Below are 24,799 nucleotides of genomic sequence, written 5' to 3'. Positions count from 1 at the left end.
TGCTCTTATTGCTTTTCTCATCAGAATCAGATCATTGCCCTTTAAATTTGCCTTTATCAATATCTTCTACTTCTTTTTTCTCTGGCTTATTTATTTCCTCTTTCCTAAAATAAGTATTTTGGTTCTAAAGATCACTCCTGAATGCTGTTATGGCCCCATCAAATTCCACATATTTGAAAGGTATTACTGTTATTGAATTCATTCATATTGTATTTCTAATTTTAATTTTTATTTACTCTTCAACAAAATGAAAGATATTGTTTGGTTTGTATGACTTTTTACCTTTTGAATTTTTCCAGTATTTCTTTGTAGAAATAATATATTATTCCTTTTTTGAACATTTCATTGATATTACAAAAGAATTTTCTCTATTGAAAGAAATATCTAACTTAGATAATTGAAAAACAATTAAGAAAATCACATAAAATATGTGAACTTTTTAAATGATCACTCTTTTCTAGAACACATTTGCCATGTGGCTGAATTTTATTTAGTTTAATAAAGTTGTATTTTGAATGGGAATTAATGTGCAATTTAGTTATTTCACTAGAATATAGGTTAAATAAAACATTAGGAAAAAATAAATCTGAGTGGCAATGATCAAATCGAGAATTCTCAATACACGACCTATGGATTCCTGAAGTGGGTCTATACATTTTGAACATTTTGGTATTGGTATATATATTTTTTATTTTCTTTGGCAATGAAATACAAGGTTTTCATAAAATTCTCAAATGTCTCTTGAACCTCCAAAATGTAAAATTTCAGAGGGGTCTAAAAATAATGTTTCATTGTGGTATGTATATATTCCATATATCTCCCTTTCAACATGTAGAAAAATATTGCACCATCTTGAACAGTATTAAAATTTTTATCTCATTGTTAATGAGATAAAATAATGAGTTCCATAATTCTGGAACTAAAGGGAGAGGAGATGCATTTATCTTGTCCACTTTTCCACTTCTAAACCAGATTATTCCTAAACCAAACTTAAAGTTACCATGCTCGTTAACTCTTCTAAAACTTTAATATCTCATTATTATTTTCTTTCTTATATTTATTTTAAACCATTTATAGTCCATTTAAAATTCACTCATTTAGAACTCAGCTTTTACTTTTTTTTTTTTTTGAGACAGAGTCTCACTCTGTCAGCCAGGCTGGCGTGCAGTGGCACGATCTTGGCTCACTGCAACCTCAACCTCCTGGGCTCAAACGATTCTCCTGCCTCAGCCTCTTGAGTAGCTTGGATTACAAGCATGTGCCACCATGCTGGCTAATTTTTTTATTTTTAGTAGAGACAGGGTTTCACCATGTTGGCCAGGCTGGTCTGGAACTCCTGACCTCAGGTAATCCACACACCTCGGCCTCCCAAAGTGCTGAGATTACAGGAGTGAGCCACTGCACCTGGCCAGCTTTTTCTATTGACCTGAATTTGTTTTTTTGTTGGCAGAAGCCCAAATTTAATGACGACATCACAGAGTCAGCATCTGTTGATTGTCTTTTTCTTTTTTCTTTTTAATTTTTATGGGTACATAACATTTATAAGTATTAATTGGGTACATGTGACACAAGTATACGATGTATGATGATAAAATCAGGAAAATTGGGTTGTTTATCACTTCAGGTAATGTATTTCTCTTTTTGAGTTGAGATATTTCTGGTTTTTCACATGGTGAATAATTTTGGATTGTATACAGAACATTTTGAATATTACTCTATAAGACTCTGGGTTGACAATTAAATGTGATAATATAGGTTGAGTAAAAGTAAAAGAAAAGAGAAAAGATATACTATTCAAACATTTATCAAAAGATAGCTGAGTAATTTAATATCAGATAAAGTAATATCAGGGCAAAGAAATTACCAGCAATAAAGAGAGGCATTACATAATGATAGAAATGTCAGTTGAACAAGCTATAGCAGTATTAAATGTGAGTTCATTTAATAACATAACTTATTTTTAAATTTTTTAGAATCTTTGTAGATTCAGGTGGTATGTGCAGGTTTGTTACATGGATATATCGCAGTGGTGGGGTTTAGGCTTCCATTGTACCCATCACTCAATTAGTGAACATTGTACTCAATAGGTAATTTTTCAGCCCTTACCTCCTCTCATCCTCCCTGCTTTAGGAGTCACCAGTGTCTATTATTTCCCTTTATACATCCATATGTACCCACTATTTAGTCCCCACTTTTAAGTGAGAACATGCAGTATTAGATTTTCTGTTTCTGAGTTGTTTCACATAGGAAAATGACCTTCAGCTCCATCCATGTTGCTGCAAAAAACTAATTTAATTCTTTTTCATGGCTGCATAGTATTCCATGCTGTATACATACCACATACACTTTATCCAGTCATCCACTGATGGACACTTAGGTTAATTCCATGACCTTTGTATTGTGAATAGTGCTGCTATGAATATACGAGTGCAGATGTCTTTTTGATTTAACGATTTCTTTTTCTTTGGCTAGGTACCTGGTAGTGGGGTTGCTGGGTCAAATGGTAGTTTTATTTTTAGTTTTGTGAGAAGTCTCCATACTGTTTTCCATAAATGTTGTGCTAATTTACATTCTCATCAACAGTGTATAAGCGTTTTCTCTGCATCCTTACCAACATCTGTTGTTTTTTGACTTTTTAGTAGTAATTATTCTGACTAGTGTGAGATGGTATCTCATTGTAGTTTTAATTTGCATTTCTCTAATAATAAGTGATGGGTAGTTGTTTACATGTTTGCTGGCTGCTAGTATGTTTTCTTTTGAGAAATGACTGTTCATGTTCTTTTCCCACTTTTTAAAGTGGTTAGTTGCTTTTATTTGTTAAGTTGTTTGAGTTCCTTGTAGGTTCTGTATATTAGTCCTTTGTTGAATGCACAGTTCTGACAATAGAACTTCTAAATTCTGTTGAGGCAAAAACTCACAGACCTGAAAGAAGAAATCAATAAATCTATAATTATAGTTTGAAACTCCAACATGTTTTTCTGAGACAGAAAATCAGCAAGTATAGAAAAGTGAACCAGACCATTTTCCAGATGATCAACTAGATCTTATTGATATTTATAGGACAGTTCATTCAAACATAACAGAATATGTATTCTTTTTAAGTGCACATGGATACTCATTAAAATACACCATATCTTGGGTTTAAAATAAACCTTAACAACTTAAAAAAATGAGATCAAAATATGTCCTTTAATCATATGGAATTAGACTTGAAATCAAAAAAGAAGATAAAAGATAAAAGAAAATGTCCAAATACTTGGAAAGTCAACAATATGTATCTACATAATTCATAAATTAGAGAAGACATAAATTACCAATATTGAGAATTAAAAAGGAAAATATTACTACAGACCAAATAGATATTAAAAGGGAAATAAAGGGTTACTACAGGCAACCCTACACATATAAATTTGACAAATTAGATGAAAAGAACCAATTCCGCAAAAATTGCAAACCACCAAAATTTGCCCAAGATGAAACGTATAATAGACATAGTCCAATAAAAATGAAAGAAATTGTATTCTTAGTTAAAAACTTTCCAACAAAGAAATCTGTAGGCCCAGATGATTTCACTCACAAATTCTACCAAACATTTAAATAAGAAATAACACTAACTCTACACAGTCTTTTCCATAATGCTTAAGAAAAAGAAACACATCACAACTCATTTTATGAAACACCTGATAAGAATCAGGTGTGCCTCACCTGATTGCAAAATCAGACAAATACAGAAGACAAAAAAATTACAGACTAATATCCCTCATGAACATAGACATAAACATACTTAATGCAGCAATATATATATACACACATATATACACATATAAATAATATAGATATATATTATTTAGATATATAATTTATATAGATATATATAAGATATATTTTATATATAGATATAGATAATATATAGATATAGATATATATAGATATATATTACATATATAAGATATAATTTATATATATATATGATTTATATAGATATATATAAATTATATATCTAAATAGGGTTTATTCCAGGAATGCAAGGCCAGTTCAGTATTCAGAAATAAATCAGTGTAATTTAGCTGGGAGCAGTGGCTCATGCCTGTAATCCCAGGACTTTGGGAGGCCGAGGCTGGCGGACCACCTGAAGTCAGGATTTTGAGACCAGCCTGGCCAACATGGTGAAACTCTGTCTCTACTAAAAATACAAAAAAATTACCTGGGCGTGGTGGCGGGTGCCTGTATAATCTCAGCTACTTGGGAGGCTGAAGCATGAGAATCACTTGAACCCAGGAGGCGGAGGTTGCTGTTAGCCAAGATTGTGCCACTGCACTCCAGCCTGGGCAACAAGAACAAAACTGTGTCTTAAATGCTACCTGATTTCAAACTATACTACAAGGCTACAGTAACCATAACAGCATGGTACTGGTACCAAAACAGAAGATAGACCAAAGGAACAGAACAGAGGCCTCAGAAATAACATCACACATCTACAACCATCTGATCCTTGTCAAACCTGACAAAAACAAGAAATGGGGAAAGGATGCCCTATTTAATAAATGGTGCTGGGAAAACTGGCTAGCCATATGTAGAAAGCTGAAACTGGGTCCCTTCCTTATGCCTTATACAAAAATTAATTCAAGATGGATTAAAATCTTAAATTTTCGACCTAAAACCATAAAAACCCTAGAAGAAAACCTAGGCAATACCATTCAGGACATAGGCATAGGTAAGGACTTCATGACTAAAACACCAAAAGCAATGGCAACAAAAGCCAAAATTGACAGATGGGATCCAATTAAACTAAAGAGCTTCTGCACAGCAAAAGAAATTACCATCAGAGTGAACAGGCAACCTACAGAATGGGAGAAAATTTTTTCAATCTACCGTTCTGGCAAAGGACTAATATCCAGAATCTACAAAGAAGTTAAAGAAATTTACAAGAAAAAAATCAAACAACCCCATCAAAAAGTGGGCAAAGGATATGAACAGAAACTTCTCAAAAGAAGACATTTATGCAGCCAACAGACAGAAAAAATGCTCATCATCACTGGTCATCAGAGAAATGCGAATCAAAACCGCAATGAGATACCATCTCACACCAGTTAGAATGGTGATCATTAAAAAGGCAGGAAACAGCAGATGCTGGAGAGGATGTGGAGAAATAGGAACACTTTTACAGTGTTGATGAGAGTGTAAACTAGTTCAATGATTTTGGAAGACAATGTGGCGATTCCTCAAGGATCTAGAACTAGAAATAACATTTGACCCAGCAATCCCATTACTGCGTATATACCCAAAGGATTATAAATCATGCTACTATAAAGAAACATGCACACGTTATGTTTATTGAGGCAATAGTCACAATAGCAAAGACTTGGAACCAACCCAAATGTCCATCAATGATAGACTGGATTAAGAAAATGTGGCACATATACATCATAGAATACTATGCAGCCATAAAAACGATGAGTTCATGTCCTTTGCAGGGACATGGATGAAGCTGGAAACCATCATTCTGAGCCAACTATCACAAGGACAGAAAACCAAACATCGCATGATCTCACTCGTAAGTGGGAATTGCACAATGGGAACACTTGGACACAGGGCGGGGAACATCACACTCAGGGGCCTGTCATGGGCTGGGGGGTAGGGGAAGGGATAGCATTAGGAGAAATATGTAATATAAATGACGAGTTAATGGGTGCAACAAACCAACATGGCACATGTATACCTATGTAACAAATCTGCACGTTGTGCACATGTACCCTAGAACTTAAAGTATAATAATAATAATAATAATAATAATAATAATAATAATAGGCCCGGCATGGTGGCTCACACCTGTAATCCCAGCACTCTGGGAGGCCGAGGCTGGTGGATCACGAGGTCAGGAGATTGAGACCATCCTGGCTAACACGGTGAAACCCTGTCTCTACTAAAAATACAAAAAATTAGCTGGGCATGGTGGCACATGCCTGTAATCCCAGCTACTCAGGAGGCTGAGGCAGGAGAATCACTTGAACCTGGGAGGCGGAGGTTGCAGTGAGCCAATACTGCACCATTCCACTCCAGCCCGGGTGACAGAGCGAGACTCCATCTCAAAATAATAATAATAATATTAATAATAAATAAAATAAATAAATAAATGTAATCCATCAAATTAACAGTCTAAGAAGTAGAATTACCTGATTATCTCATCAGTGCAGAAAAAGCATTTAAGAAAATTCATTCATAATAAGTCTTCAGCAAATTAGGAATAGAAGGGACCTTCTTCAATGTGGTAAAGGCACATACAAAAAAATCTACATCTAACATCATACTTAATGGTGACAAATTAATTGCTTTTCTCTTCAGATTGGGAACAAGGTAAGGATATCCACTCTAACTTATCCTATTCAACATTTTACTAGACAGCCTAACTAATGCAATAAGGAAAGAGAAAGAGTGAAAAGGCATGCAAAATGGAAAGGAATAAATAAAACTGTCCCTATTTTCAGACATCTTGATATCCTAAATATTAATAGAAAATTCTAAGGAACCCATAAAACCCTCCTAAAAATTGAGAAATGTATTGATCTAGGTTCCTGGATACAGGTTCATCACACAAAACTCAATCATATTTTATAGACATATATTATTAAACACAAATTTAAAAGTAAAATTTACAATACTCTCTCTCTCTCCCACAAATGAAGTCTTATAAATGAATGTAACAAAGAATGCATTGGGTCTAAATGGTAAAAATTACAAGATGCTGATGAAAAAATTACCTAAGTAAATGGAGATACATACTATGTTCATGAATTGGAAAACACAACCTCACAACCTGGTAGTGCTATCACTTCTCCCCAGATCTATAGATACTTTATTTTATTTTATTATTTGAGACAGGGTCTCACTTTGTCTCCCAGGCTGGAGTGTAGTGGCACAATCATGGCTCACTGCAGCTTGAATCTCCCTGGGCTCAGGTGATCCTCTCATCTCAGCCTCCCAGGTAGCTGAGACTACAGGGGCATACCACTATACCTGGCTAATTTTTCTATTTTCTGTAAAGATAGGGTTTCGACATGTTGGGTAGGCTGGTCTCAAACTCCTGGACTCAAGAAATTCGCCTGCCTCAGCCTCTCAAAATGGTGGGATTACAGGTGTGAGCCACCATGCCCAGCCTGATCTATAGATTTAACGCAATTAAAATGTTAGGATTTTAAAAATAGATATAAACAAACTGAATTTAAAATTTATGTGGAAAACCATAGGTATCAGAGTAGCCAAAGTAATTTTGAAAAACAAAAATAAAAATTAAACAGATCACATTGTTCTTTTTTGAGACTTACTGTAAATCAGGGGTAATCAAAGCAGTATGATGTATAGATCAGTGATGTATACATCAATGGAACAGAACAGACTCTGGAAATAGGCCCAACATAACATAGCCAAAGAATATTTGAGAAAGGAACATAGGCAAATCAAGTATTTTCAACAAATAATGTTGAAACAATTTGACATCCATATGTAATAAGACCTTGACTTAAAACTCACCTATTTTATGTAAAATAACTCAAAATGAATCATAGATCTAAATGTTAAATATAAAACTGTAAAACTTTTTAAAGAAAGTATGTTTTCTTTTGAGAAATGAAATCTTCATGGGCCAGGTGCAGTAGCTCACGCCTGTAATCCCAGCCCTTTGGGAGGCTGAGGAGGACGGATTACTTTAGGCCAGGAGTTTGAGACCAGGCTGGCCAACATAGCAAAACCCTGTTTCTACTAAAAATACACACACACACACACACACACACACACACACACAAACACACACACACACACAAAAAATTAGCCAGGTGTGTTGGTGCATGCCTATAGTCTCAGCTACTCAGGAGAATCCGGGAGGCGGAGTTTGTGGTGAGCTGAGATTGCTCACTGCACTCCAGCCTGGGCAACAGAGCAAGACTGTCTCAAAAAAAAAGAAAAAAAGGAAAGAAAAAGAAATCTTCCTGTACTGTGATTAGGTAAAGAATGCTTAGCCATGACACTAAAAGCATGTTCTTTAAAAGAAAAAAAAGATAAATTTGACTATGAAAATTAACTTTTATTCTGCTAAAGGCACTACTTTAAGAGAATGAAAGGACAAGTTACAGTCTGGGAGATTTCTGCAAATCACACATAAGACAAATGACTTGTATCCAAAATATAAGAAGGTCACTTAAAACTTATCAGTAAGAAATCAAACAGCCCGATTAAAAAGTGGGCAAATTATCTGAACAAACTTTTCACCAAAGAGGACATATGGCAGGCTAATGAACATATGAAAAATGTTCAGTGTCATTAGGAAAATACAAAATAAAACTGCAATGTGATACCACTACATACATATAATTATTATTATTATTTTTTTAATTGAAAAGCCCAAACCTGACACCACCAGGGACTGGCAAGGATGTAGAGTTACTAAAACTCTTACATACTGTTGGTGAGAGTGCCAAATGATGCAGCCACTCTGGCAAATAGTTTGACAGTGTTCTATAATATTACACTCATATGACCCAGCAATTCCACTCCTCGGAGTTTACCCTAGAGAAATGGAAACGTATGCTCACATAAACACCTATGCACCACTCTTTATAGCAATCGTATTTATAGTCACCAAAGCAGAAAGCATTTCTTCAATGAGTGAATGAATAAACAAATCATAGTATATAACATTCCTAAAAGATAAAATTATAGTGACAAGAGAAAAAACTCAGTGTTTACCAGGGGTTGAGAGTGAGGAGAGAGTGTGGTTGAAAGAGGTGGTGCCTGTTCAGATCACACAAGAGCAATGTGGGGCTTTACAGAAAATACAAAATCAATAATTTCAGAAACACATGCTTTGTGAACTGCCTTAGAAATTTTCTGACTTACTGAAAAACGATGAAATTATATAGAGTGTGGAGAAAGTTGTAACTTTATTAATATAGGCAGTTAATACTGACACTCTATCATGTTGAAACATATCCTTTCTTCATATTAGTTTGTGATATTTCCATTTTCCCCTATTAGATCACTCCCTTCTCTTTCTTTTTCTCATTTATGCTGGCTTAAATTTTAGATCTTGCAGTAGAATCAAAAGTAATAAAAGATATAACTGAACCCTGATGACAGAAAAAAAAAGAAAGAAAGAAAGAAAGAGGTGGCGCAAGGGAGTTTGGGGGTTGATGAGATGTTCTGTGTCCTGATGGTGGTAGTAGTTATACAAATTTAAGCATGTAGCAAAATTCATACAAATGTACATAATATGGTCATTTTGCTGTATATTAATTTAAAAATTAAAAGTAAAAGAACATATAACAGAAATGGTTTTGCTTATTCTGTTCTTTTCGATAGTGTTTCTTTAATTCATATAACATGGAGTTGATACATATTTTAATAAAAATCAATGTAGTATCAATTCTATTCTTGAAAAACTTGGAAATTAGCTATCCCTTGATTTAGTATTTAGTTCTAATTCACTATAGATAGATGTTACACATGCTTTAGAACTATGTTAAGAACATAATATGGACAACAGTACAATCCAGAGATCCTACAGTGCAGGTAATATTTCCATTTACTTGGTGCATCTTAAATTACTTATTTTACCACTTTCCATATCGGTTTTGCCACTTTTAAATGCAGGTGGTTAAAATATATGATCTTTGTTGCTTTTCTACTCAAGAATAAACCCCCAAATCTATTCTAACAGCTAAAATCTGGTTTCAAGTGGAAATAATACTTATTACTGCTTTTCCAATATGAAATCTATAAAGGTTTTTCATATCTTAAAACTTAGAAAGCCTCTGAATTCTCTGAACATGCATTACTTTTATGAAGCATGAAGTGATGATGTCTCTAGAGTACATATGATGTGTCTTATGTTAGCTGCATTATTTGGTAACCAGGACAGTGCTCCACATGCAACAGCATTAATGAATTATGTTTGTTGATGATAGTGATAGGCAAAGACCTTAAAAGAAAATCAACAGCCAAGTATATACAGATTGCATACAGGTGGATCCCCAAAAGCAAATGTAATTTGTATGACCAGCAAATAGGTCAAACATTAAAGTATGCATATACTTTATGCATAAAGTATGCATACCTAAATACATACTTAAAAATATATATATATATATATATATATATATATATATATATATAGTCAGGGCTTCTACTCTTGAATTCACTGCAATCCCTATCCCATTGTTTTAAGCCAGATTCAGAGTCAATCATTTATGATTCCTGCCTGGCTTTTGTATAGACATTTAAATTTACAAACCCTTAGAAGTTCCACTACATTGTAGATGTATTCTGCACGTTCTTAGAAAAATGAGAAAATTTTCCACTTTTGAACTGATGGCAGATTCTTAAATTGAAAGTAAAACATTCTGGACCATAGAATAATTTACTTTTTTTTTCTATTGACAAGCTTATTTCTTGCTGCATCCCAATTAGGTGTTTCCGAAAAGGACAAGTATTTTGAAACATATTAATATGTATATTATAGGCCTGTATTAAACATATGTTAAGTACAATGGAGAGACGTATAATTCCATTTTCCTGAAAAAATTTTTTTAAATGAAGTTTTGGAATATATAACAGTTCCCTTTCAGTTTGACTGGCAGAAGGCTTTGAAAAAATTTGCATCCCACCTGAAGTAGGTGGCCTAAATATTTTTTATTTTTGTTTTAGTCACATTTCAAGTTCTTGGTCCTATCCTGATCTTTTCCTTTCTGACTTTATTCTCCAATTACTGCATTTTATGTCTCTCTCTTATTTCTGTAAATCATGTAATGATATACTATATTTATAAAAACAATTATATTTATAAAAGGCTGGAAGAACAGTTGCCAAATGCTAAGAACAATTAACTGTGTGTATTTCAGGAGATAGGATTACAGATGACGCAGGTTTTCATTTTTTTGAGTTCATTTTTTGATCTCTTGTATGTAGGACAAGTAGAATCTACATTAAGTCTTTGGACTGAGGACAAGAATAGATAGATAAATGAATAATTATGTTTATCTGTGTTTTTTCAGCTTCTGTGTATTAAATGCGCATGGATTATGCAGGATTACTTAGCAGATCTGTTTTCTTTACTTTTATGCCAAGATTATGAGATGAATATTGTGAAATGTGGGCTGACTACTGTGACTAACCATCCCTCCCCATCTATGCTTATCAACTGGCAAGTGCTTTGGATAGCTGTCATTGATCATTCCATTTTCCTAACTTTCTCAGGGTCACAACACCAGCAAGACTCATTTCCAGACCCCTCCTTGGTCCTGCCCAAGTGAAATTTGGCAGGGAAAGCATCTATTCTCTACTATGGTGCACTCCTAGTTCTCTATCATTGCCGCTCTTTCATTTAGTCTCTTGCTCTAAACTCAAGTTTTGTTGTTGCCAAATTTCCACCTGCCAAATTACTTTTCTCTTTTATGCACCTGTTCTCACCCAGGAGCATATTCTCTCAATTCATTTCAATTCTTCAACTTGAAAAAAGTTAGATTTATTTGCTGATTTAAAAATATTTTTTCAATAAATATTTTATAAACAGTTGGCTTATTGGGAAAAATAAATTAGATTATTTTTTCCTTTGAGACAGGGTCTCATTCTGTTGCTTGGGCTGGAGTGCAGTGGTGCTATCATAGATCTCTTTAACCCGAAACAGCTGGGTTCAAGAGATACTCACACCTCAGCCTCGTGGCAGCTCTTGTAGCTACAAATACAGGCATGCACCACCATGCCAGGCTAATTTTTAATTTTTTTCTTTTTTTTGTAGAGACAAGGTCTCACTATGTTGTCCAGACTGGGAGATTCTTTCCTATATCCTATAAAAAGTAAATTCCAGATAAATTCTAGGTAATAAATGAAAACATATTATGAGATGAAGAACATATACATGATTAATTGACTTCTGGATGAAGATGGAGTTTTTAAACCTAAAGTAATTGATGAAACTGTCAAGGAAAAAAATAATAGTTTTGACAACATGAAAATTGGAGGCCAGCATATATTAAAAAGAAAAAAACACAAATATATAAATGCTGCTCTGAATTGTACATTGAGGATGGAAGCCAACGATCATGGCTGGGAGAAAATGTTAAACGATTTAGTTCCTGACTGCAAGGATTTTCACAAGGACCTTAATATTTTGAGTCCCTTCAATAGGCAAACCAAATTATTGATGAGACACTTAAAAGATGAATTGCTTACTTTTTTTGTTCTATAAGACTTTGTTGTAGTCATACATTTTAATTAGGTGTCAGAAATATCTATAGAGTTTCTTTTGAAGTTATTTTCCTCCTCAGTTGTCTTCATAATAAGGCTGGTAGTAGTGGATTTCTCATGAGGCAGTTACATTTTATGAAGCTAAGTGATAACATAGACAAAGGAGGAATTTTATTATAATTAATGATTGTAGATTACATGGGTATATGGTAGAGAATCTATTTTAATACATCTCCTTATGCTTTTCAGAATTGCCATCATATTTACAGTTTGCAGCATATTTGGGAGAAGGGCAGTTTTGTTCCCATTTTAGATAAGAAAACTGAGGTCAATGAACTTTCATGACTAGCTCATAACGAAAACATTTCGAAAATGAAAACTAAACAAGAAACTGGTTCTAAATTATATACCTACTCCTAGATATCAGATGCTCCTAGATTTTGATGAGGGGCAGTCCACTGTGTTGTGTTTATTTTTCATCTTCAGGCCATGGCATTTGCTGTATATCTATGTTTATACTAGTCCAGTCACTGTAGAACTATTAGTTATGAAAGAATATATTTCCTCATATTCCTGCAATGGCAATATAAAATACTAAATAATAATGAATAACAGCAAATTCTTACATAACATTCGACATGTACCATTTAATTCTCACTACGCTCTGAGGAAAGACTGTATTATTCCCATCTTACAGATAAGAAAACTGAGGTACTGACAACTTGCTCATGGCTATACAGAGTCATTTTTTTATAGCTGTTCAGATCTTCTGCTCAATTCCCTATATTTATGTGAGGTTAAATGTTTAAGGTTAGAAAAAATAAAGATAATAATTCCACCATTTATCTTTCACTCTGATGGTGTGCTAAATGTCAGTTTATAACCCGGTGACTATAGCTGCCAGAAATAACTCCAGAACCTCTTATTTTAATCCACAAAATACTTTCAAAATTGTTCCACAGTTTATATATACAGTGACAAATGCTTTGCACCTTGGGAATGTGGGATAAAACAAAACTAGGTGTTGCTTCTTTTATTTGAACCAAAAGTATAGTGTTGTGAATTCTATTCTCAGATTGTTGAAACGGTTTTCTCTTAAAACCTCCATCTCTGTTTTATTTATAAAAATGTATGCATATAAAAATGTTAGCTTTGAAATATATTTGCGGTCACATTTACATCACGGAACTTAGATTATTTAGTGGCATATTTTAGATGTTCATGACAACGTGAACGCTTTTTGTCTACCAGCGATATGGAACAATTAATCGGAACCCTCACTAGAGGAGGACCCATTGCATTCAGTGTTGGTTTGTAAAACAGGCCTGGGTGAGAGGCCTCTCAGCAGGCCTCGTTATGTTACCTGTAATTTTTCACATGCGTATAGTTTATCACTAGTGACATTCTGGCTTTCAGATCAGTCATCTCTTAGGACTTAAAATTGATATATCAGTCTCAGCATAAAATGCTATCATTCCCATAGACCAACTGTTTACCGGAGTATAACTCCTCCTGTGTCTCATTTCATCACACTGTTCCACACAGTGATGTTTCAATGTGAAATGAAGTTTCTTCATGCTGTGCTTCTGAGTAGAAAAAAGACAGAAGTACATGTATGATAAATGGTGAAGATTCCATGATAACCCTTGCAAAACAATACAATGTGGAAGCATTATACTTGCTTTAATAATTTAATACATAAATGTGATTTTTAAACTTTTATAACAAACACTATTTATGCAGCGGTGAGAGGAAGGTCAATTATATTTACTGTGAATCACTTTATCTTCCAACTTATTTAGAAATTAGCAAAATACCACTGCTGTCAAATTGTCATGGTGAAGTATCTGTGGAGACTACACTATTACACTATTAGTAAAATATAAAATTACCATCATGGTTTTCAATGGTACATGTATTTATTTACAGTTTTGTAAGAGAGATAATTTATTTAAAATTATATCAAATCCAATTCTCTCCCCCTATGTGGAGCTCAGTACCAAATTCTGGCTTTCAATGGCAACAATAGAATTTAAGAAAAACATCTTGTTTAAGTCTCTTACTGTCTGAAAGATACTGTAGTGTTTGCATTCTTTCTTTGGCCTTAGAGTGCATTTTCTTTGTGCCTCTGAGTGTAGTCTGGCTGTGACATCAGTGTCCCACTGATTACTGGGGTTGATTCAACTGATTTGGCTGACTAGGCTGGGGTCTATATACTTCTTTCACAACCCTAAAAGCTGTGCGTTGGCGGAGGATGATGACATCCCTGGGGAGACCAGACCACTTAATTTTTCTCAAAATGGAAATGATGTTTTCCCTTTTAGCATGTCTTGATTCGACCTGTGACTAAAGGTCTGATACACTGCTTTAAAGTGAAAGGCAATATCATTTAGCCAAAACTGGGTTCGATTTATGTTTTCAATTTGATGTAGCATTGCAAATACTCAGTGTTTCCTGTAAGAAAACATTTTAGCTTGCACTTATAATTCTTGTTTTTCTGTTTTCAAATATGTTTAATGCGTACCTTTTAGACTATTGTCGTGGAAACTGCAATATGCTATAAAATAATATCCAAATACAAAGCTTCAGTTAATGAATGTAGTCAATTATTGAACAATGAAAAAATGAGTGATTCCAAAGAAATGCAAAAAATAATAATTTTATGGTAAAATATATTTTTATGAAAATTGTTTAACAGGTAATTATTTCTATCCTTTGGAAGAATTATGAAAATCAGCAATAATTAACTGGTTTGATTATGTTTCTCCAGTGTGTGCGCATGCACACACAAACACACACACACAATAAAATAAATAGTTCTAAAATTAGGTATTAAAATTACGTTGAATTCAGTGCTCTTAGCAAATAGGATAGTCTGACAATATTTTTTAAATATGGCACATTGAAAGGCAGCTATCCACCGGAAAACTAGTGTATGAAGGGCTTATATGCTTTGTGTTAATTTAAAAATGTATAGCCCAAATAAAGCAAAATTGACATTATAAAGCCTTTCTGTCCAATTTTTAAGATAAAGCTACTTAAATCCGAGCTTAGTTTGGAAATAGCATACTCATATATATTAAATATAATGCATTAAATATAAGCATACTCATATATTAAATATAATAAATATATATTAATATATAATATATTAATATAATAAATATATATTAATATATAATATATTAAATTAAATATATATGAGTATGCTATTTCCAAACTAAGTTTATTTTATATTATTAATAATATATTATATAATATATTTTATATATAATAATATATGTTTATACATTATATATAATAAATATATAATGTATAAACATATATTATTATATATAATAAATATATAATGTATAAATATATATTATATATAAAATATATTATATAATATATTATTAATAATATAAAATAATAAACTTAGTTTGGAAATAGCATACTCATATATATAGCATATATATGATATATATAATAGCATACTCATAATATATAATGTATATTACATATATTATTATATATAATAAATATATATATATTTAAGAGTATGCTATTCCCAAACTAAGCTTGGATTTAAGTAGTTTTAAAAATTGGACTGAAAGCCTTTATAATGTCAATTATATATATAATTATATATAATATATATGCATTTTTTTGTATAATATATATATTATATATACATTATGTATCACCTGGCTAACATCCATGAATTTAGGAAATTTTTAATAGCACCTGAATTTTTTAAAGCTTAATTCAAATCAACCTTTTTTAATTATTAAAAATAAACTTTATTTTTTAGAGCAGTGTTAGGTTCACAGCAAGACTGACTGGAAAATATGCGTAGTTCCCATAAACTCCCTGCCCCATACACTCGCAGTCTCTCCTACTATCAACATCCCACACCAGAGTGGTATATTTGTTACAATCAATGAACCTAGTAGCAATATTTTTAATTTTGGAATGAAGAAGCAGATATTATCATTCAGTTGCTCTTGTGAGAAACTGTTAAGGCATCAGAGGGTTTGAAAAACAATTCTGAGGAATTTTAATCTATGAATTTGTCAAATCCAACTAAGATTACTAACATAGTTATTTTTAGACGTTCAAACTATTGATTCCTAGTATTGGTCAACAAGTGATTTGTAATGCGCCTGGGGAAAATAAGTAAAGCTCAACTATTGTCCTCAAGTCACATGAAGAGAAATGCAGGAGATATGTATATGAGTGGTTTGACATTAGTTAGAACACTTGGTATCATAAGAGAGGTACAATTAAAATACTCTGGGAGGTAGCACTGGAAGGAGGTAAGAAGGTTTCACTCGAGGTCTCAGACTGGACAAAGCATTTGAGTTAGGTCTTGAACTATAGATTGAGGTGTCGATAGAGTTGCCAAATGAAATGTAAGATGTTCAGTTAAATTTGAATTTCAGAGAAGCTGTGAATAATTTTGGTATAGGTATGTCTCAAATATTGCATGGGACATATTTATACTAAAACATTATCCATTGCTTATCTGAAATTCGAACTTAACTGGAAATGCTGTATTATATTTTCTAAAAATGGCAATTTAAGGCATGGGGTACTTACTACTGAAGTAAACAATGTTTAAAGGTACAAAGAGGAAAAAAGAGTACATATGTACATCTCAGGGTACATATGGAAAGGAATACATGTTTGGTTAATTACATTGAATATAGGAAATGATTTGGATTGAATGAAATGAGGTGTGTTAATAATTGTACTGGAATAATAAGGCATAAACTGCAACTGCCCTGGGCAAACCAGAAGTAATAATGCTGAAACCTCAAAGGGTAGTGGGACCATAGTCTCAGAGTACCATAAGGGAAGAGGTATTTGGATTCCATTTAGGGTAACCAATGACTGTGCAACAGCTATCTGTGACAACTAGAGAACATAGTAATTTATGAAATATCATAGTGATCTAATCTTTGAGCCTTTTATGCAAATGAATGGGCTTTAGAACATGTTTTTCAGACTGTGAAAACCCAGAACATATGCTAGACAAACTTCTTAAATGCATCTCAGAATGCTGGTGAGCAATAACTGTATTATTACTGAGGTTAGGGACTTTATTCCTAAGACTATGGAGGCACAGATCTGGCCCATTTGAAACAGGATACGTTAGAGGTCACAGGAGGTTTTTTTTTTGTCATATGCTTGTTTATTAAAATTGATGGGGATATGAATGAACAATATCCTTCACTGCATCTAAAAAAATTGAGTTAGAGATGAAACATAGTGAGGCCTCTGCCTTCTGAGAAGGAGATTAATTTAAAGTTTCCTCTATGATATAAAATAAGCACATGTTAACATATGAATGAATGTATATTAAGATGTTAAAAATGATATCTGAATCAACATTTAAAAGGCTTAATAAATTATTTTCACTATGAAAAGTTTCAAACATATACAAAAATAGACTGAATAGTACAATGAACTCCCATATGTTCACAATCCAGTTTTAGCAATGCTCATGATTTGCCACATTTGCATTATCTAGTTTCTCTTTCCTTTTCTTTCCTCCTCTGAAATACTTAAAAGCAAATAATGTGATTGACACTTTTTAAAATCAGCTAATTAGATATACAACAACAAATTGACAGGGGTTTAGAAATGGCACTATAATATATACATGATCACTTGGATTTTGTTTGCATAGATACAGGTTGAGACTCAAAAAGCTGTATTTATATGTTGAAATAATCATATGTTACCGGAATTAAATCCACAATGTTCATGAGGAATGCTGAATTACTAGTCTTTTGCATTTGAATACTATTTAATTGTACCCTCAAAATCTTACCTTTTATAAAACTGCATTTACAAGAAGCTCTCAAAACTTTAGACAGGTCTATTTTGCCCTGTTTTAGAGGATAAAAAATTATAGTGATTTGGCTACACTTACACAATAACATAATATTATAGTCTGAAACAGAAAAATGGCTTTGATTCTACTAATTTATCATTTGCCCTTCTAAAATGGTCTTAGTATTTCAGAAATGTTCGTCCAGGTTATCAAATAAAAGTTAAATTCTGTGTTTCATCCAGAAGCAGAAGTAAACTTTAGCAAAATGTATTTCATGGGTCCGCAGAATACAGATAAAAGAGCAATATATATGAATATAGGTATTACTGTTGGAACCATGAGAAATGGACCTATTCATATTTCATCAGGCCATTCCAGCCTGCTACAAAATATGGGGCCACTTCTACAAAAATCACCTATAATTTGAAGTCTCCTGTGTTTACTTACTAATATAAGATTCTAGCCCTTGCAAAGTGTATCCCAATTATGTCCACAAGTCTCCATAGCACTAATCCAAATTTTTCATGATCAAATATGATGCACTAAATCAAAAGCACAAATCTCACACCAGTCAGAATGGTTATCGTTAAAAAGACAAAAAAATAATAAATACTAGTGAGGTTGTGGAGAAAAATAAACACTTATATCCCGTTGGTGGGAGTGTAAATTAGTTCAACCATTGAGGAAGACAGTATGGTGATTCCTCAAAGACCTAGACAGAAATACCATTCAACCCAGCAATTCCATTACTGGGTGTATACCCAAAGGAACATAAATTGTTCTATCATAAACACGCATGGACGTATATGTTCATTCACAACAGCAAAGACATGGAATCAACCCAAATGCCCATAAACAATAGACTGGATAAAGAAAATGCAGTACATATACACCGTGGAATACTATGTAGCCATATAAAAGAATGAGATTATGTTCTTTGCAGGGACATGGATGAAGCCTGAGGCCATTATCCTTAGCAAACTAAGGGAGGAACAGAAAACCAAACACTCCATGTTCTCACTTTTAAGTGGGAGCTGAATGATGAGAACACGTGGACACCTATAGGGGAACAACACACGCTGGGGCCTATCAGAAGGTGGAGGGTGGGAGAAGGGAGAGGATCAGGAAAAATAACTAATGGGTACTAGGCTTAATACCTGGGTGATGAAATAATCTGTACACCAAAGCCCCATGACACACATTTACGTATGTAACAAAACTGCACACGTAACCCTGAACTTAAAATAAAAGTTAAAAAAAAATCTGATGCACTATCAAAAGGCATCTGCCTGGCATCCCTGCTATTTCTGCTGGTCCTACTCTGGTGTCATTTTTCAAGATAGGCCATCTGTCTGTAGTGGGTGTGCCCACCTTTTCCACTAGAAATTTTTGTGTCTACCAGGAATTTCTATCCCTACTGGATCCCTCCTTCTTGCCAGATGACTCAAAACCTGCCACCATTGCTGTGGACTACCAGTGCTTCCAGAACCCCCTGCCCAGACCCACTCCCAAATTTCTTTTTTTTTTTAATTTTTAAATTTTAAGTTTTTACATTTATTTATTTTATTTTATATATAAAAATGTATATGTATGTCAAAACATCATGTCATGCATGATGTTTAACTGTAAGCATAGTTAATAGTCAAATAATTAGTTCAGTTAAGCAATTTAACATATCCATCATCTCACATAGTTACTTTGTGTGTGTGTTGTAAGAGCACTTAAAATCTACTGTCAGCAAATTTTCAGTATACAATACAATATTAACTATAATCCTTATGCTGTATGTTAGATCTCTAGACATATTACTTATAGATAATTACACATTTGTACCCTTTGACCTACATCTCCCCACTCCGTAAACCTCCTCCTTCTTGCCCCACACCTGGCAACCATCATTCTACTCTCTCTTTCTATGTATTCGACTTTTCTCAGATTCCACATATAATTGAGATCGTGCAGTATATTTTTAATATCTGGATTATTTCACTTATTATAATGTCATTCAAGTCATCCATGTTGCCGCAAATGGCAGTATCCTTTTCTTTTTAAGGTTGAATATATTCATATATATAAATCCATATGCCACAATTTCTTTATCCATTAATGGACACTTTTGTTGTTTCCATATCTTGGCTGTTGTGAACAATTGAATAATGCTGCAAGAAACATAGGAGTTCATCATTTCCTTTGGGTATATACCCAGTGGATGGATTGCTGGATTTTTTAGTAATTCTATTTTTAGTTTTTGGTAGAACCTTCGTACTGCTTTCCATAATAGCTGTAATGTCCAATTTTTAATTAACACTTTTGATGTAAGTCTGGAACTAGCCTATACACTTCCTCAACCATTACTTTATCTAATAAACATTTGAAATAAAATTTGCTTTTCACCCTAATTACAAATTTTTTATCTCCTACAAAATGTAGCTGACTCTGAAAGAACTAAAGTAAAAAAATTAAATGTCCCAAATTCACATGACCACTCTTAGCATTTTGGTGATATTCTTCATAAAGATTCTTTCTTTTTTTTTTTTTTAAAAAGTCTGTGTATGTTTACCACATATTTTACACTAATAATATGTTCTGTACTTTTCTCTCTGTTAATAAATTTCCTTGTACAATTTTTTTAAAGAGCTGGATAATATCCAACTATATGGATATCAAATTATTTATTCGATTCTTTTTTTACAAAGGGTTTCTTCTTATTTTAGTTTTCTATTATTAAAAATACTAAACTTCCAATAAACATTTCTGTATATACATCTTTGCCCAAATTTCTATTTTATCATTTAGTATACATTTTTAGAAGTGTTGCAAATTAAAGAATATGAAAATTAACATTTTTAAATACTTAGTGTCAAATTGTCCTTCAGGAAGGTTGTGGCAATTTTCACATACAGTGTTTTATAAGGATATTATAATTTCTTCATATTTGCTAATATGATAGTCAAAAAGAATGTCTCATATTTAGTTTAAATATGTTTTAAAGTAATGAATGACATTAAACATTTATTAAGATATTTTCAGATATTTGACTATTTTATAAGTAACATACGATCTTGTTCACTGTTCTACTAATCTTCTAACTGGTTTAAAGAATGTATAAGACCACCTTCTATATTAAGGATACTTTTACCTCATCATCTGTATTGCAAATAGGTTTTAAGTTTGAAATAGTTTACCATGCATAAAGTCTATAGAGTCAGATTGATCATTCTACTTTCTCATTCTTTGGTGTCCAACTCCACTTTCAAGATTATGCAAATATTCACTTGATTTCATCTGTTCACTTGTTTTCATGTTTTGAATAAAATAAATATTTTAACAATCAAGCATGTTTTAGTAAAACAACATAAGGTAATAATTTTCTGGGGTTGCACTCTGGCAGAGAGCAAACAGAGCAGTGTTATATATACCAACATTGTCTTACACAGATTTTTTAAAGAACTAGGTCTTGCAGTTTCTACTTAGAATCCTCACTTTCCTTTGGACCCAGGCAAAAGTGAATGGGGGCTGGGTCAAAACCACTTTAATTTAGTGGTGCTATCTAAGGATCACTTCTTCACTCCAACTCCAATTTTGTTTTTGGGCGTACGCTTCCTGTAGAATGACCCTTATCCCGGGCCCCCAGGATGTTTCTTCTGAGAGTTCCATGCAAAAGAATCCTACCATATCACTTCCATGACCATCTATTAAGGTGGGCACACCTAGACATGTCTGAATTAATTCTAGGTTGGCCTGACATTGGAGTTCTGCTACATTTGAAAGCATGCTAGCGAAACTAAAAATTTGGCAATAATCTTCATGTAGAACTGAACAGATTTTGAATTAGGGCAGGAAATATTTGTTGAGAGAAAAAAATGTGAGATTAAAATTTTGAGAAAAATATGTATACGCATTAGACATCAGGTATAATCTCTGTGTGTGTGTTTGTGCCAGGAGATTGCAAATACAAGTGCTGAAAGGGGTGAGGGAGAGAATGTAAATGAGTGAAGTGGGATGGGAGAATTAGAGAGTGGTGGAGGCTTGTTGTATTGTAAAACATAGCCCAGTCTAAAAGGATTTTAGCCAACTGTTTTCAAGCAGAAAGGTTAATGTAATATTGGGAGGCCTTTCATTATTTCACAAGAATGGGGCATTCAGATTCACCATAAAATTCTGATTTTTAAATGTTGGAAACAAACTCAAAGGATTTAAAAATATTCTGAGGGTCAAACAGGTTATAATTATAAGCTGGATCTGACCTGTAGGCTGTCAATTGTTGGATTTGCTCTAATCACACATTCTGTTGGGTAGGCAAAAATGATACAACATTATTTGCAAGATGACAACACACAAAAAAGCCATTACTTATGAATAGCAAGATCAAACACATAAAAATAGATTTACCATAATGAAAAAAATGAAATTCCAAAATTAATATGAAATTGCATTACCAAGAGATTTGACCCACCATTCCTTTGTGGCATCGAGGTTTGAAACTTTCTTCTGATTTATAAAATGAAAGGAATGATGAATTAGTGAAAGGAATGAGGAAGGCCAGTTTGAGTGCTGAGGAAGATCAGCACATTTATTGTGGTCATGGGATCCTGGGGTCTTCTCTGATGCCAGGATTCTGAAAGAGAATTTTCCTAATAAGTAAAAGACTTTTAAACAGACTCTCCTGCATGTGATCAGCTCCACAGGGTGTCTCTTGAAACAGGATGTGAACAACTGGAATTGAAATGGAGAGACCTTGGAAGGGTAATGAAAAAGAGACCTGAGTGCCTATAAATCTAATATTCAGAATACCAGAGGGGGCTACCTCAACCACTAAAGATGATTCTTTTCAAGCAATTTATTGTACTGACTCTTTTAAAAACATAAATAAACTAAGAGAAGACAAACAAGATAAACAGGGAACTTAGAAACTCTGTAGTGAATTTTTTTTTTAATGAGTGATCATCACACAGATGTGTGTAATAACCTCTCTTCAGGAGCAGCTTTCCACTTCCTTTCCATCTGTTTCTGTACTAGTAACCTGTTCACTCCAGGAACTTTGTCCCTTTGGAATTTGGCCTATTTAGGGGTTGAAAAATAGTATAGACATTTCCCATTTCCAGCTCCTCCCCTTTCTATAAGGCATTTCTTAAAAAAATTCTGCTTTCTATATCTCTACTTCCAGGGAAGAATCCTACTAGACTACTAATCTGAATTTATGTTGCTCTTCCTCCTGGCGTGCTTTCAAGATGATTAGTGGTGGTTGTACAAAAGGGTTCTAAACGTTGTATTTCAAAATTTACATTGTTGTATGCCCAAAGAATACATCATCCTCCTTAGCAATTGTTCAGGTTTTCATTATTTTCTCAGTGTTAAGCTATTTTTAAAAAATAAATGTAAAGGAGATAATTGAGAGTAGAGAAAGAAAAAAAGACACAAATCCTAAATTATTGCTTCAGCTACATTTTACTGAATACTTGTTAGGTGCTAGAAATTGTGATAAGCATTAAATATACATTGTTTCATTTAAATTCTTACAAGTAACCTAGAAATTAGATATTTTTTTCCATCTTACATATAAGTATGTAATTAAAAGTATACAACTTAAGAAATCTGACACAGGGTGTATGTAGAAAGCCCCTTGTATCCTCAAAACTTTTAAATTTCAAAACCCATATGCTTAATTATTTTAAAATTATCTTGAATTTTCACAGAATCTCAACAGCATGAAATCTATAATGGATTATTAATATTACATCCCTACTTTAAGGGTTTCTTCTTTATATGAAAGTGAAGACTCTATGGATATATGATGGAAAAGATATCGCCCTATAGATCTTAGAAAATTTTTTTGTTGAGATTATAGTCATCAGAACATAATTATATCAAGTAAATGCTATATGGGTTTTTAAAAGAAACTTCAAATATTTCCCTGCATAGTTATATTGATACAGGTATTGGTAAGGTACTTTTGTAAATATATATTTTATGCTTGAAACAAATAGTAAACTGAAGATCACTAAAGGCTAAGGCAGAGAAATAGAAAGATAATGGAGAGAAAATAAATAGAAATACTGATAGAAGATCATGAACCCAGAGTATCACAGATGCCAGAAAACATGCTCAACCCTTTTTCTGAGTACAAAAGAACTAACATTAGGGTATGGCTTAAAATGAGAGGCAGTATGGGATATAGGATGATAGGTGAGTGCTGTATGGGAGAGGACACTGTCCTGTGGAGAATATGGAGAATGCATTGGAAGGGGTAAGTCATAAGGAGAAATCAGTGAGTAACCAGTTAAGATGAATAATCAAAGGGAGAAAGAAGAGGGGACACTTTCTGGATGATTAATGTATTGACAGTGAGAATGGAAGGAAAAAGCCATCCTCAAAAAATGGTTATAAAGATTATAGGTAACACCAAAAACAACAGGATATACATTCTTTTCATCACCACTTACTCTAAAATTGGTCACATAATTGGTAGTAAAACACTCCTTAGCAAATGCAAAAGAACTGAAGTCATAACAAACAAATTATAGCAAGCAGCCTCTCAGACCACAGCACAAGTGAATTAGAACTCAAAATTAAGAAACTTACTCAAAATGACACAACTACATGGAAATTGAACAACTTGCTCCTGAATGACTTTTTGGTAAATAATGAAATTAAGGCAGATAGCAAGAAGTTCTTTGAAACTAATGAGAACAAAGAGACAACGTGCCAGAATCTCTGGGACGCAGCTAAAGTAGTGTTATGAGG

Source organism: Homo sapiens, chromosome 3 (assembly GCF_000001405.40).
Source record: "Homo sapiens chromosome 3, GRCh38.p14 Primary Assembly".
NCBI lineage: Eukaryota > Metazoa > Chordata > Mammalia > Primates > Hominidae > Homo > Homo sapiens.
This window is presented reverse-complemented; position numbering follows the sequence as displayed.